General features: G+C 42.4%; 1 protein-coding gene across 2 annotated transcripts in view; it reads left to right on the forward strand.

Annotated features, from left to right (window-relative positions):
- The window catches only part of ZNF713 (zinc finger protein 713), a 54,770-nt gene that overhangs the window by 394 nt on the left and 36,895 nt on the right, over window positions 1–17,481 (forward strand). The gene's annotated exons all lie outside the window — the stretch shown is intronic.

Genomic DNA, 17,481 nt, shown 5'->3' on the forward strand with positions numbered 1-17,481 from the left:
GCGGCGGGCGGCGGGCGGCGGCGGCGGCGGCGGCGGCGGGCGGCGGCGGCGGCGGGAGGCGGCAGGTGGCGGGAGGGGCGGCCGCTGTCCCCGCTGTCCCCATTCCTGTCACCCGCCCCGTGTCCCTTTCAGATTTTTGGTCTTTTATAGGAAGGTCTTACCCGTTCCAATATTATAAACACATTGTCTTCTACTATCTGGGAATGACTCTGAGGCTGAAGAAAAACTTGCAGTTTATTTTTGGGCAAGCGTCCATAGGTGTCATTTTGGGGGAAAGTTTTTCCTCATCTCAGGATTATGCAAACGTTCGGCTTTATTTTCTTATAATACGTTTAAAGAATTTTTAAAATATTTTCTTTTTCTCCTTTTTATCTGTATTTCATTGAGTATGATATTTGTGGTAAGGGGTTAGGTAGAGATTACCTTTTTCTCTCATTGCCTTGCTGTTATCCGTTGAGTCACTTTTCCACGGAATTGCAGTGACACTTTTATTACATTTTGCAGGCGTGTGTATGCTCAGATGTGTTTCTGTTTATTTATGTTTTTGTTTTGAGACAGGATCTCACTTTATCACCCAGGCTGCAGTGCAGTGGCACCATCATGGCACACTGCAGCCTCAAACGCCTGGGCTCAAGAGCTCCTCCTTCCTCAGCCTCCTCAGTAGCTGGGACCACAGGTGTGCACCACCACGTGCGGCTTTTTGTTGTTGTTGTTGTTGTTAGCGACCAGGTCTCACCATGTTTCCCAGGCTGGTCTCTGAGCGCAAGTGATCCTCCCGCCTTGGCCTCTCAAAGTGCTGGGATTACAGGCATGAGCCACGGCGTTCGGCCAGCTGTTTCTAGATTCTGTCACTGCCCTGACAGTTTCTGCACTGAATACATATACGTACATACATACATAGATTTTTTTCATTTAAAATGTTTAGGCCGGTTGCGGTCCTGTAATCGCAGCACTTTGGGAGGCAGAGGCAGGAGGATCACTTGAGCTCATGAGTTCGAGACCAGCCTGGGAAACATGGCAAGACCCTGTTGCTACAAAAAAAACTAGAAAAATTAACCGGACTTGGTGGTGTGTGCCTGTAGTCCCCAGCCACTCAGGAGGCTGAGGTGGGAAGATGGCTTTGGCCCAGGAGATGAAGGTTGCAGTGAGCCAGTCACTGCACTCCAGCCTGGGCGACAGAATCAGACCTTGTCTCAAAAAATAAAATAAATGTTTTAAGCAAATCCCCCTTAATTGTGTCCTTTCATATAATGATTTTTTTTTTTTTTTGAGATGGAGTTTCGCTCCTGTTGCCCAGGCTGGAGTGCAATGGTGTGATCTCCGCTCACCGCAACCTCTGCCTCCTGGGTTCAAATGATTCTCCTGTCTCAGCTTCCCGATTAGCTGGGATTACAGGCACATGCCACCACACCTGGCTCATTTTTGTATTTTTAGTAGAGACGGAGTTTCATCATATTGGTCAGGCTGATCTCAAACTCCTGACCTCAGGTGATCCGCCCACCTCGGCCTCCCAAGTGCTGGGATTACAGGCGTGAGCCACTGCGCCCGGCCTGATCTATTTCTTTTAACTTAAATTGTGAGGCATTTAAAAGATACAGAAAAGTTTAAAAAAAAATAATTTTTTAAAAGGCAGGTTGGAACACTTAGTAGGTTGTAGCAATTAGTACGTTCTAAATAGATAGTTATTCGGTGATGAATGTTGGTGGAAAGTCACTCTGTTGCTGAAAACTTGCGGCTCCCTGCCGCCATCAGGAAAATGTTCTAGTTCCTTAGTGATGCCCTCAAAGCCCTTTATGATCTTGATATTGCATCTGGCTTTGTCTTACACCCATGCACTTTTTTTTTACCCCCAAAAAAGCAGTTTAATTTGAGTGCAGATTTGTATGTGAATTTCATTAGAAAAGAGGACTATATAAATCTTATGAGTTATAGTTCTTGTAACACGTTGGTGTCATTTTCAACTGATTGGAAATGTCAGCTGTGAAGACCATGCTTTTAATTTTACCTTAGAGTATGCATCTTTGGTGACTGTCATAGCCTGCTCAGTCTGCTGTACAATACTGCAGACTGAGTGCAAACAACAGAAATGTGGTATCTCACAGTTCTAGAGGTGGGAAGTTCAAAATCAAAGTGCCTGCCCTGTTGGTTTCCAGTGAACCTCTCTTCCTGGCTTGCAGAAGGGACTGGCATCTCTCTGTGTCCTCTTCTGCTGGCCTTTGCACTGGGTGCATGCATTCCTGTGCCTCTTCTTCTTATGAGGACACTACTGCTATTGGATTAAGACCCCACCTTTATGACCTCATTTAACTTTAATTACAGGCCCGGCGCAGTGGCTCATGCCTGTAATCCCAGCACTTTGGAAGGCCGAGGCAGGTGGATCACCTGAGGTCAGGAGTTCAAGACCAACTTGGCCAACATGGTGAAACCCCATCTCTAGTAAAAATACAAAAATTAGCCGGGTGTGGTGGTGGGTGCCTGTAATCCCAGCAACTTGGGAAGCTGAGGCAGGAGAATTGCTTGAACCCGGGAGGCAGAGGTTTCAGTGAGCCGAGATCACGCCATTGCACTCCAGTCTGGGCAAGAGAGCGAGACTCTGTCTCCAAAAAAAAAAAAAAAAAATGACAACCTTTAAGGCCCTATTTCCAAATAAAGTCACATTGCGGGTTAGGACTTCAACATACTAATTTGTGGGTGTGGAATATAATTTAGTCCATAACAGTTACAACATCAAAATGAGTTGAAAATTCTAATCTGCTGTAAGATTAAAACTGCCTCAATTAAATCATTATTACAAGAAAAAATGTATCCCTTAAGAGAATTCTAAATAAAGATATAAGAAGAATTATCCTGGTATCACAGATACACAGGAGAATCAAATATTAAGGAGAGGCTGGACGTGGTGGCTTATGCCTGTAATCCCAGCACTTTGGGAGGCCGAGGTGGATGGATCATCTGAGGTCAGGAGTTTGAGACCAGCCTGGGCAACATGGTGAAACCCCATCTCCTAAAAATACAAATATTAGCTGGGCGTGGTGGCACGTGCCTGAGGTAGGAGAATTGTGCTTGAACCCAGGAGGTGGAGGTTGCAGTGAGCCTGGATTGTGCCACGGCACTCTAGCCTGGACGACAGAGTGAGACTCTGTCTCAAAAAAAAAAAAAAGAAAAAAAAATTAAGGAGTGTGCCTACTCCCACACATGCTTGGAACAATTCCTAGCATAGATTAAGGTTTTAAACTATTAAGTTTTGAATGAACACTAAATGAAAAAGTTACTATTTGATTAGTTCATCAGCAAATAAATGTGGACAATTAGAAGTTTATATACAGGAACTAAGAAATAATTCAGTTTCAACATTCTAATATAAATATGAACGAAATTAAAGCTCAGTCTAAATACCTTTCCAAAGTCACATGGTTATTTAATAGAAGAATTGTGTCTCCATTTACGCCTGCAAAATGTAATTTTTATTTCACCCACACTAGTTCATGATATATAATGGTTTGCAGGAACAAAAGTATAATGTGACTTGCAAGGCAAAGTATGAAAATAGAAATCAGGAGAGAAAAGATTAAGAGAAATGATGTCCACTTATTTAATAGAAAAAAAATTAAATCATAGAAATTGTGTCTAGACCAGCCTGGGAAACATGGTGAGACCTGGTCGCTAATAACAACAACAACAACAACAACAACAAAAAGCCACACGTGGTGGTGCGCACCTGTGGTCCCAGCTACTGGGAAGGCTGAGGAAGGAGGAGCTCTTGAGCCCAGGCGTTTGAGGCTGCAGTGTGCCATGATGGTGCCACTGCACTGCAGCCTGGGTGATAAAGTGAGATCCTGTCTCAAAACAAAAACATAAATAAACAGAAACACATCTGAGTATATAAACGCCTGCAAAATGTAATTTTTATTTCACCCACACTAGTTCATGATATATAATGGTTTGCAGGAACAAAAGTATAATGTGACTTGCAAGGCAAAGTATGAAAATAGAAATCAGGAGAGAAAAAAGATTAAGAGAAATGATGTCCACTTATTTAATAGAAAAAAATTAAATCATAGAAAAAAAGTAAATCTCAACTAAGATAGACTGTCATCTATGAATCTAAAGTGGGAAGTAGTAAACCCTTGTTTATAAAAATCACAAGTGGCTGGGTGCAATGGCTTATGCCTGTAATCCCAGCACTTTGAGAGGCCTAGGCAGGCGGATCACGAGGTCAGGAGATCGAGACCATCCTGGCTAACACAGTGAAACCCCGTCTCTACTAAAACTACAAAAAAATTAGCTGGGCCTGGTGGCGGGCGCCTGTAGTCCCAGCTACAGGAGGCTGAGGCTGGAGAATGGCGTGAACCCGGGAGGCGGAGTTTGCAGTGAGCCGAGATCGCGCCGCTGCACTCCAGCCTGGGCGACAGAGTGAGACTCCATCTCAAAAAAAAAAAAAAAAAAAAAAAAAAACCCCAGGAACAACGTGTGAGAGATTTGTGTTCGTGCCATACAGAACCAGGGAAGCTCACTCAAGCTTGGTGTTCAGGGTTTTAATTGGGGACTGGTGTAGGGGTGATCCCTTTTCTCCCTATCATAAGGGTCATGACAGAAAACCCTATAACAAAACACAGGTTAACAAGAGAAAAGCATAACAAGTTTATTTGGTAATAGTTTTATAACTTCCCCTTTGCCCTCTGAAGGTTTGCTGAAAAGCACTGACCAAAAAAAAAAAAAAAAAAAAAAACAAAGCAGAATAGGCTGGGCGCGGTGGCTCACGCCTGTAATCCCAGCACTTTAGGAGACCAAGGCGATTGGATCACATGAGGTCGGGAGTTTGAGACCAGCCTGACCAACATAGAGAAACCCCGTCTCTACTGAAGATACAAAATTAGCCGGGCGTGGTGGCGGAAGCCTATAATCCCAGCTACTCGGGAGGCTGAAGCAGGAGAATTACTTGAACCTGGGAGGTGAGGTTGCAGTGAACCGAGATCATGCCATTGCACTCCATTCTGGGCAACAAGAGTGAAATTGTTTGGGAAAAAAAAAAAAAAAAAGGCGGAGTAATAGGAGACAAGGCATACAAATTTACCCAGGCTGGAGTGCAGTGGTGTGATCTCTGCTCACTGCAAGCTCCGTCTCCCGGGTTCACGCCATTCTCTTGCCTCAGCCTCCCGAGTAGCTGGGACTACAGGCGGCCGCCACCACGCCCGGCTAATTTTTTTGTAGTTTTAGTAGAGACGGGGTTTCACCGTGTTAGCCAGGATGGTCTTGATCTCCTGACTTCATGATCTGCCCGCCTCAGCCTCCCAAAGTGCTGGGATTACAGGCGTGAGCTACCGCGCCCGGACTAATTTGATCATAGTTTTATGTGACATGGGAGCCTTCAGACTGAAGACCCAAAGATACAGGGAAACATAAACATAAACATACAGTTTATGCTTAGGAATGGACATCCATGTATAAATATGATTGGACAAAAAGAGTATGATCTCATGCTATAGATTGAATGGGGAAATGCAGCCAGGCCTGGGTGTTCAGATTCTCCTTGTTCTCTTTGGGAAGTATTCCTTCCTACCCAGTGTGGGGTAAGACCACTCTAGAATGAGGATCTTATGACCTACAATGAAACAAGGTAGGTCATATAATGTATTTATGGCCAGTTATTATACAGAAGGCAGGGAATTAGGGTAATATTTTTAGGTTTTATGACTGGCTTTGGAGAAAAAGCATTCCTGTTTTTTGTTGTTTTGTTTTTGTTTGTTTTGAGACTGAGTTTTGCTGGTTGCCAAGGCTGGAGTACAGTGTCGCGATCTTGGCTCACTGCAACCTCCGCCTCCCGGGTTCAAGCCATTCTTGTGCCTCAGCCTCCCGAGTAGCTGGGATTACAGGCACCCGCCACCACACCAGGCTAATTTTTATATTTTTAGTAGAGACAGCATTTCACTATGTTGGCCAGGCTGGTCTCAAACTCCTGACCTCAAATGATCCGTCCACCTTGGCTTCCCAAATTGCTGGGATTACAGGCATGAGCCACCACACCTGGCCAAGGGTTGTTGTTTCTATGACCTGCCTTGGGGAAGGGGTATTTTAGTTTCTAAGCCTACTCTAAGGGGAGAATGAGGGGTGAGAGAAAGGAGGGCAGGAGAAGGCCAGAGAGAAACTTGTGCTTTTGAGGCCTTTAATTTGCAGTATCATTTTCTGAGCCCCAACACCAGTCATGTGGGCTTGGCTTGACCACCCTTGTGGCTGACCTTCACTCTCCAGCCCTTTCAGAGGAGGAGCTACCACATGGCCTGCAGTTCTCAACATAACAGGGTCCCTTTATTAGCATTAACATCTGAACATGTCCCATGGCCTCAGGCAAACAAAGACACTCTTAACTGGCAGGATATTCCAGGGGTTTAGAGGTTGTCTCCCAAGGAGGCAGGCCAGGGTACCTTTCCTTGAAATGTTCAGGGTTTGGATCATCCAGTTCTGCTGAGTTAATCCCTTTACTTTATACTACCTTCTGTCTAAAGACCTCTTGCAAATCAAGAAATCACTATTGTCAAGAAAAACACAATAGTGGAAAAATGGACAGATGACACGAAAGGGTAATTTATTTAAAAAATAAAGCTAAAATATAAATACTTCTGTCCCATATATCTAAGAAGTGCATGTTAAAGCAATGATTAAATATGTTTATGTATTTCAAAAGAACAAAGCCTGACATTGGTTAATGGTCTCATGTATTGGTGATGAATATATAAATTGATACAACCTTCCTGGACAGTGTTTTGCCTTTTCTTTGACCCTGCAATTACACTTTTCCTAAGGAACTAATCAGGCAAAATCATTCAAAAACTGTATGTCTAACAGTGTTTGCTGTTGTCTATAAAAGCAAGCAAGCAAGAAAGAAAACAACCTAAAGGTCTATTAATAATGAAATAAGTTTTGGTTATTGCATGCAAAGGAATATATTATGAATCTATTAAGAAAATGAATGTTTTGACTTTTGTTTTCTGTCATGAAGTGAGATCTACAATATTGTCAATTAAAATGTAGATTTCTGAAAAGAAAATTATACATTTAATAATATGTGCATGTGTATGCCTGTGTGTGTATACATGGAAAAAGCCTGAAAGGATAAATCCCAAAAATAAGGTAACTAGTTATCTCCAGGTGATATTATAAGTGATTTTCATTTTTTATATATTTACTAAAATTTGTGTTTTAATATTTGCCAAAAAGTAAAATGAGGGTATTTCCATGGTAGAGAGGGGTATAGGAAAGATCACTCTGGCTGCAGTATGAAGAAAAGGTTAGACTAAAGTCAAGGAGATAAGTTAGAAGGGAATGGCAGTAATCAAAGTGAGAGCTGATGGTGGCTGAACCAATGTACTAGACATGAAGATGAAGACCAGAAACATTCATGAGATACTGAAGGGAATACGTATACCAGAATGTGACATTGATTAGATAGAGAGCCTAAGGGAGAACGAGGGAGCTCAGGATGCCATTCGGGTTTCAGGCTTGGTGTTGCTATTCATTGAGATCGGGAATATGATAGAAGAGTTAGAATTAAGATATATCTATCTATCTACTGCTTATTATATGCTGTTATATTCTGTTATACTCTTTTTTTTTTTTTTTTTTTTTTTTTTTTTTTTTTGAGACAGAGTTTCACTCTTATTGCCCAGGCTGGAGTGCAATGGCATGATCTCGGCTCACTGTAACCTCCATCTCCTGGTTTCAAGCGATTCTCCTGCCTCAGCCTCCCGAGTAGCTGGGATTACAGGCACGCGCCACCATGCCTGGCTAATTTTGTATTTTTAGTAGAGGTGGAGTTTCTCCATGTTAGTCAGGCTGGTCTCGAACTCCCGACCTCAGGCAATCTGCCCGCCTTGGCCTCCCAAAGTGCTGGGATTACAGGTGTGAGCCACTGCGCCTGGCTTGTGCTGTTATATTCTAAATATTTACAAATTTTCACTTTTCCTTAATCCTCACAACAAACCCACAGGTAGATACTATTATTATTCCTAGTTTTATAGATGAGGAAGTGGAAGCCTGGAAAGGTTGAGTCATTTACCCAACCAGATTCATACAGCTAAAGTCATGGAGCTGGGAATCCAACCCATATGGTTTGGCTGTGGAGTCACCATTCTGACCTACCTTACTGTATGGAAAATTAATGGCAAGAGACGAGAGAGAATGAGTTTTGGATATGTTAGGCTTCAGAAATATGAGGGACATCTACCTGGGGGTGTCCAGGAGGGTGGTTACATTTGTATGTTTTTCTGTAGCTCAGAAAGGACGAGCAGTGAAACCAAGACAATGAGAGAAGCCACCTGAGAATAAATACAATAAAAAATAGAGGAGAGTGAATATAAACACTAATAAATTGGACCTAACTACATTACAAAGGAAGGATGTAACCACATTGAAAGAGGTGAGGAAGAAAATAACCTTAAATAACTTTAGGAAACAGTATCTTAACTGGATACTGTAAGGCTAAAGATGAAAAGAATTCCACATAAATGCTGTAATCAAGTCAGTAATTGTGTTTCTCACAAGGGTATGAGTTAGGAACTCTATTATAAAGCTGTGTTATATGTATGTCACAATTGAACAAATAAGTAGATAATAAGAGCCACCAATTTTTTACTGTTGAAGAAGGAAGTTACCGGTAAGGAAAAAGGGAAGACTAAAATGAACCTTGTGGTATTAGATTGGAATCAGATATCAGTATGAACTCATGATATTTAATATATATGTGTGTGTGTGTGTGTATATATATATACACACACATAAACACACATAATTGATGTGTGTATATACATGGTTAGTGTGTATATATATATAAATATTATATATTTCCTAGTTATGTCTGCTAAGAGGGCCTAGAAGCAATGATACCCCAGTAGCAATAAGCATACCTAGCACCCAAATCTTTGTTTCTAAATCCTGTTCTCCAGTAAAAGGAACCAGGGCACTTTGGAGAAACGGTTGATTCCAGGGCTGGGCAGGAAAAATGCTAGAGCCTGAAACATCTTATATTGCCAAGAAGTGAGAAAGTGCTTAAGAAAGGAGAAAGCCTGGTTGAAATAACACAGGAGTCTCGTAATGGCCAAAGCTGAAACAATTTGTGCAATAAAATAAATAAGAAAAGTATTTGACTTTTAACTCATAGAATAAAATAAGTATCCATGAGTCTCTATAGATATAAGCAAATAATCTAATAAATAAATGAATAGGGGATAAGAAGCAGTTTTTCCTTATGGAAAAATTCCAATACTAAATTAGTAAGAGGGAAATAGAAGAACACCATTAGGCAAACACCACGTTAATAATTGTTGCAGATGAGATGAGATACACTGATGATGCTAAAATTAATGGGTTTGAGAAGCAAGATATGTACATAGTCTTTTTTCTTTCTTTTTTTTTTTTCTTTTTTTGAGACAGGGTCTCACTCTTTCACCTAGGGTGGAGTGCAGTGGCGTGATCATGGCTCGCTGGAGTGCAGTGGCATGATCACAGCTCACTGCAGCCTCGACCTTCCAGGCTCAAGCAACCCTCTCACCTCAGCCTCCCGAATAGCTGGGACTACAGGCACTCGCCACCACACCCAGCTAATTTTTTCTTTTTTTTTCATAGTGAAGGTCTCACTATGTTGCCTAGGTTGGTCTCAAACTCCTGGGCTCAAGCCATCCTCCCACCTCCACCTCCCAAAGCGTTAGGATTACAAGCATACAAGCATGAGCCACTGCGTCCATCTGTCCTGTAGGTAGCCTTAAAGTATCTTCCCCCAGGATATTTATTAGCAACAAAAGGAAAGATAGTAACTTTTACCATAGAGCAACCTGGTAGACACCACCTTGACCAAGTGATAATGGTAAATATTACCGTCAATGAAACATATTGCCATTAATGAGACATATTACCATTAATGAGACATATTGACATCGTGAACATATTGACGTCATAAACATAGTAGACATATTGACATTGTATAGAGTAGATCTTCATGTCCAGTTCCTGCCGCAGAGCTCCTAAAACCCTCGTCATTTTCTGAGTGATAGGGATGATAGAAGCGTCTTTTGCTATTCATAACCAATGAGATGACTGGTGACTCCAAGTTCCTACATAGCTTCAGGATGGAGGCTAGTGGCTAAAGGAACCTACCATGTAATTAGAGGGTTGAACTTTAAACCCCAACCCCAAACCCCACCCCACCTCTGAGGAGAAGAGAGGGGTTGAAGATAGAGTTAATCACCAATGGACAATCAACTCAAAATGGATTAAGGACTTAAACAGAAGACCTGAAGCTATAAAACTCAGAAAGGAAAATGTTCCATGACGTTTGTCTAGACAAAAATTTCTTGGATATGACCACAAATGCAAAAGTAAACAAATAGGGTTGCGTCAATCTAAAAAGCTTTTACACGGCAAAGGAAACAATCAATAAATGAAGAGAAAAACCAAGGATTGGGAGAAAATGTTTGCAAACGATACATCTGATATGGGACTGTATTAGTCTGTTCTCACTGCTACTGAAGAACTACCTGAGACTGAGTAATTTATGAAGAAAAGAGGTTTAATTGACTCACGATTCCTGTACAGGCTGTACAGGAAGCATGACTGGGAGGCCTCAGGAAACTTACAAGCATGGCAGAAGGCCAAGGGGAAGCAAGGACCTTCTTCATATGGCAGGAGGAGAGAGTGCAAAGTGCCACATGCTTTTAAGCCATCAGATCTCGTGAGAATTCACTCATTATCGTGAGAACAGCAAGAGGGAAATCCACCCTGTGATCCAATCACCTTCCAATTCAACATGAAATTTCAGTAGGGACACAAATCCAAACCATATCAAGGACTAATATCCAAAATATATAAGGAACTCAGTAGCGAGAAAACAAGTAACCCAATTTTAAGATGGACAAATGTCCTGAATAGACATTCTCATTCACAAAAAATTAAATTCAAAATTTCCCATTTACCTCTAAAAAAAAAGACAACATACAAATGGCCATCAGAGATAATGAAAAAATGCTTATCACTGATCTTGATGGATATGCAGATTAAAACCACAATAAGAGAGCACTCACCCCTGTTAGAATGGCTTATTATCAAAAAGACAAAAGATAACAAGTATTGGTGAGAGTGTGGAGAAAAGGGAACGCTTATGCACTGTTTGTGGGAATGTAAATTAATACAGCCATCACAGCAAACTACAGGAGTTCCTCAAAAAACAAAAAATCGGCCAGGCACGGTGGTTCATGCCTGTAATCCCAGCACTTTGGGAGGCCGAGGCGGGCAGATCACAGGGTCAGGAGATGGAGACCATCCTGGCTAATACGGTGAAACCCCGTCTCTACTAAAACTACAAAAAATTAGCTGGGCATGGTGGCGGGCACCTGTAGTCCCAGCTACTTGGGAGGCTGAGGCAGGAGAATGGCGTGAACCCGGGAGGTGGAGCTTGCAGTGAGCCGAGATCGTGCCACTGTACTCCATCCAGCCTAGGTGACAGAGCGAGATTCCATCTCAAAAAAAAAAAAAAAAAAAAAAATCAAGCCAGGCACGGTGGTTTATGCCTGTAATCCCAGCACTTTGGGAGGCCGAGGGGGGGGGGGGGGTTGATCACAAGGTCAGGAGTTCAAGACCAGCCTGGCCAAGATGGCGAGACCCCATCTCTACTAAAAATACAAAAAAATTTGCCGGGTGTGGTGGCAGGCACCTGTAATCCCAGCTACTCAGGAGGCTGAGATGGAGAAATGCTTGAACCCAGGAGGCAGAGGTTGCAGTGAGCTGAGATGGCACCACTGCACTCCAGCCTGGGCAACAGAGCGAGACTCCATCTCAAAAAAATAAAAAATAAAAAAATCGAACTACCATATGATCCAGCAGTCCCACTTCTGAGTATATATTCTTTTTTTGTTTGTTTGTTTTGAGACAGAGTCTCATTCCATCAGCCAGGCTGGAGTGCAGTGGCACGATCTCAGCTCACTGCAACCTCTGTCTCCCAGGTTCAAGTGATTCTTGTGCCTCAGCCTCTTGAGCAGCTGGAATTGCAGACATGCCCCACACCACACCCGGCCAATTTTTGTATGTATAATAGAGACAGGGCTTCACCATGTTGGCCAGGCTGGTCTTGATCTCCTGATCTCAGATGATCCACCCACCTCAGCCTCCCAAAGTGCAGGGATTACAGGTGTGAGCCACCACACCAGGACCTGAGTATATATTCAAAGGAATTGAAATGGGTATGCCAAAGCGATATCTGTACTCCTATGTTTATTGCAACATTATTCACTGTAGTCAAGATATGGAAGTGACCTAGATGTCCATTGGATGAATGGATTTTAAAAATGTGGTGGCCGGGCGTGGTGGCTCACCCCTGTAATCGCAGCACTTTCTGGGAGGCCGAGGCAGGCGGATCACGAGGTCAGGAGTTTGAGATCAGCCTGACCAACATGGTGAAACCCTGTCTCTACTAAAAATACAAAAATTAGCCAGGCATGGCGGCACGTGTCTGTAATCCCATTTACTCAGAGGGCTGAGGCAGGAGAAGTGCTCGAACCCGGGAGGTGGAAGTTGCAGTGAGCCGAGATTGCACCACTGCACTCCAGCCTGGGCAACAGAGCGAGACTCCATTTCAAAAAAAAAAAATGTGGTATATATACACAATGGAATACTATTCAGCCTTCAAAAAGAGGGAAATTATATTATTCGTGACAACATAGATGAACCTGGAGGACATTGTATTAAGTGAAATAAGCCAAGCACAGAAAAACAGAAACTCTATGATCTCACTTAAAACGTGGACTCTAAAAATGTTGAACTTGTAGAGAGTAGAATGGTTGTTACTAGAATCTGGGGCTGTGTGGGAGGGGGCTAAAGAGATGTTGACCAAAGGGTACAAAGTTTTAGTGAGACAGGAGGGGTAAGCTTTAGTGATCTATTACACAGAATGATGACTAAAATAATAAAATAACAATGCATTGTTTTCTTTCTGTCTCTCTGTCTCTTTCTTTTTTTCTTTTAGAGATGGGGTTTCAACATGTTGCCCAGGCTGGTCTCGAACTCCTGACCTCAAGTGATCCACCCACCTTGGCCTCCCAAAGTGCTGGGATTACAGGCATGAGCCACTGCGTCTTGCTGATAATGCATTGTATATTTCAAAATTACTAAAAGAGTAGATTTTAAATGTTTTCACCACAAATAATTTAAAAGTATGTGAGGTGACAGATATGATAATTGGCTATTCCACAATGTGTATTAGTCTGTTTTCACGCTGCTGATAAAGACATACCCAAGACTGGGCAATTTACAAAAGAAAGAGGTTTAATGGATTTACAGTTCTGAGTGGCTGGGGAGGACTCACAATCATGGTGGAAGGCAAGGAGGAGCAAGTCACATCTTACATGGATGGCAGCAGGCAGTGAGAGAGAGAGAGAGAGCTTATGCAGAGAAACTCTAGCTTATAAAGCCATCAGTTCTCATGAGACTTATTCACTATCATGAGAACAGCATGGAAGAGACCTGCCCCCATGATTCAGTTACCTCCCACTGGGTCCCTCCCACAACATGTGGGAATTCAAGATGAGATATGGGGTGGAGACACAGCCAAACCACATCAACTATGTAAATATATATTAATGCATCACATTGTACTCTATAAATATATATAATTATTTGTCAATTAGAAATTTAAACAAATTTTTAAGTTACCAGTGTCTAGTAGTTTAATCAATCTTGACTGTATAATGCAACCTCCATAGAAACACTAAAAAAAGGAGTCTGGAGAACTTCCAGATTGGTGAACACATACAGGTGCTGGAGGTTGCCATGCCCAGAGAGGGCATGGAAGCTCTGCACCCACCAACCCTCCACCCCTTGCCCAATTTACCTCTTACATTTGGCTGTTCCTGAGTTAAGTGAACACAAAGGATTTAACCTTCATTAAACAGATCACGTGTATGATTTCACTGCAGCCATAGTGCAGCTTATTAACTCTACAGAGCAAACCTTTGTATCACTTACTAACATGACATGTAGTTTGCTGTATCAACTTATATGACAGTTACACATGTCAATATGACTGAGCACAGTGGCTCACGCCTGTAATCCCAACACTTTGGGAGGCCAAGGCAGGCAGATCACCTGAGGTAAGGAGTTCGAGACCGGCCAGTCAACATGGCAAAACCTCGTCTCTACTAAAAATACAAAAATTAGCCAGGCTTGGTGACGTGTGCCTATAATCCCAGCTGCTCAGGAGGCTGAGGCAGGAAAATCACTCAAACCTGGGAGGCAGAGGTTGCAGTGAGCTGAGGTTGCGCCACTGCACTCCAGCCTGGGTGACAGAGTGAGACTCCATCTCCAAAAAATAAAAATAAAATAAGAATGTCAATATATAAGAAGGAATAGAAAACTGATAGGATTTTACTCTTTTGCTAAAATACATTATATTGTATCTTTGAGATTGTACTAGTACAAAGTGTAATAAAACTAGATGTTTATTAAACCATTTAAATCATTGGTAAGTATACAAGAGCACTAAAGCATTTAATAGACAAAGTAATGTTAATCTATTGGTTACTTGCTCCTGCATTGTCATGCTGTTATAATTTACTTCATCACCTTGCTATTTGATACATAGTGTGAATTTCTCTTGTCATCTTAACTATTGTAAAGACGAATTTTCATCTTACTACACAATCAAAATGGCGTTGATGGTAATGAACTCCAGAGCCTGGGCCTGAACAGGGAGGTGGTCTCTCAGGCTTGATGCTCAGGCCTATATCTCTCCATTTTTGCCCTATCTCTTAAATATATGTAATGTCATAAAATGCTTTTGAATCTTTTTAAAAAGTGTCAAGCTCATGAAAGACAGCCTAAGAAACTATTACAGATTGGAGGAAACTAAGGAAAAATAAAACTGAATGCAGTGTGTATCCTAGATCAGAGAAAGAACATTAGTGGAGAAAGAACATTAGTGAAATGTGAATAATTTGAGCTAATAATATTGTACCAGTAGCCGGATATGGTGGTGGGTGCCTATAATCCCAGCTACTTGGAAGGCTGAGGCAGGAGAAGCTCTTGAACCGGGGAGATAAAGGTTACAGTGAGCCGAGACCTCACCATTGCACTCCAGCCTGGACAACAAGAGCAAAACTCCGTCTCAAAAAAAAAAAAAAAAAAAAAAGAGTGTTAATTTCTTGGTTTTGAGCATTGTACTGTGGTTTTGTAAACTGTTAACATTAGGACAAGTAGAGTGAGTGGTATACAGGAGCTCCACTATTTTGCAACTTTCCTGTAAGTCTAAAATGGGTTTAAAATTAAAAATTTAAAAAAAATTAAAAGCAAACACCAAAATCCTTTCATTTACAAATTTAGCAAATATTTATTAAGTGCCTTCTATGTGCCAGGCACTGGACATTGAAAATATTAATAGAATAGTTAACCAGATAGACCAGGTTCCTACCGTCATGGAGATTAACATAACACAATGGTGAGGTATGAAGATGGGTTACTAGACAAATAATTACAGTGATTTAAAAAAAAAAATGCTGCCCATGGCCGGGTGTGGTGGCTCACACCTGTAATCCTAGCACTTTGGGAGGACAAGGCGGGAAGATCACTTGAGGTCAGGAGTTCAAGACCAGACTGACCAATATGGTGAAACCCCATCTCTGCTAAAAATACAAAAATTAGCCAGGTGTGGCACACTCCTGTAATCCCAGCCACTTGGGAGGCTGAGGCGGGAGAATCGCTTGAACCTAGGAGGCAGAGATTGCAGTCAGCCGAGATCGTGCCCCTGCACTCCAGCCTGGGCAACAGAGCCAGACTGTGTCTTAAAAAAAAAAAACAAAAAAAAACCTACCTGGAAAAGGAAGATGTAAATGAGCAACCTCACCTGGTCTGTGATGTCAAAATCTTCCCTGAGACCTGAAAAAGGAGTAGATATCATGGGGGTGGATGGAGGGCACATGGCACGTTTCAGCACCTAACAGCAGGTCCGTGTGAATGAAGCCTCGAGCAAACAGGAGAGTAACTGCAGAGAGCAGAAAGCAGTCAGTCGTAGGATTCTTTATGGCTTTCTACTCCAACCTAAGAGTGGCAGGATGCCCTGAATAATTTTAAGTGTGGGACTGATATGATCAGGTTTTTGTCTTTTTAAGATCCCTGTAAGTCAACTACAGAGGAAAAAGAGTAGATCTTGGGAAAACCTAAGAAGCAGCAACACATAAAAGGCAGGCAAAGGAAAAAGAGACTAGATCACAGCTCCCTGAGAGAGACGGTGGAAGTAAAGCAAGAGTCACCAGTCACCAGTCACCCGTATCAGATACTGTCTTGGAAGAAGTAATGAGGTCAGGCCAGGCCTGATGGCTCACACCTGCAATCCCAGCACCAGGCCGAGGCGGGTGGATCACTTGAGCTAAGGAGTTTGAAACCAGCCTCGGCAACGTGGTGAAACCTCACTTCTACTAAAAATACAAAAATTAGCCAGGCATGGTAGTGTACACCTGTAATTCCCAGCTACTTGGGAGGCTGAAGTGGGAGGACAGCTTGGGTCCAGGAGGCAGAGGTTGCAGTGAGCTAAGATCACACCACTGCACCCTAGCCAGGACAACAGAGCCAGACTGTATCTTTAAAAAAAAAAAAAAAAAAAAAAAAAGTAATGAGGTCCATTGCATGAACAACAACATAAAGGTTTTTGGTGGTCATAACCAGAGCAGTTTCAGCAGAGTACTGAGGGCAGAACAAAAGCCAGACTATAGAGAACTGAGAAATGGGCGATGAGGAAGTAGAGAAAGTATTGACAATTTTTTGAAGAGTTGTGGCCTTGAAAAAAAGAGAGGATGGTAGTTGCAAAAGGGGTGTGTGGCCAGTGAGAGTTTTTAATGTTGGAGAGACATTAAATTATTATTATTTTGAGACGGTCTCACTCTGTCACCCAGGCTGGAGTGCAGTGGCTTGATCTCTGCTCACTGCAATCTCCACCCCCTCGGCTCAAGCATTTCTTGTGCCTCAGCCTCCCAAGTAGCTGGGATTACAGGCATGCACCACCACACCCGGCTAATTTTTGTACTTTTAGTAGGGACGGGGTTTCACCATGTTGATCAGGCTGGTCTCGAACTCCTGACCTCAATGATCCACCCACCTCATCCTCCCAAAGTGCTGGATTACAGGTGTGAGCCACCATGCCCAGCCTAATTTCTTTCCTTTTAAGCCACTCTTCTCTTCACTTTCTTCCCTATCCAGTCTAGATCCCACTGTCTAGTGTTTTCTAAGGTAAGAAAGATTTCAGAAGGGGCGTGGCCTCCGAAGTGGGTGACTGAAGTAGAAAGATAGTGAAAAACATTGAGGTTGAAGAAGTCAAGGAAATGAAAGGTTCCAGTAGTTGTTCCGAACTCTGGCTCGGATCAAAATCACTTGTGGGGCATTTAAAAAATATGTAGATGGCAGATTTTCACCTCTCAGATTCTGACCTAGGAGCTCTCTGGTGGAACCTGGATG

This window comes from Homo sapiens, chromosome 7 (genome assembly GCF_000001405.40).
Source record: "Homo sapiens chromosome 7, GRCh38.p14 Primary Assembly".
NCBI classification, from domain to species: domain Eukaryota; kingdom Metazoa; phylum Chordata; class Mammalia; order Primates; family Hominidae; genus Homo; species Homo sapiens.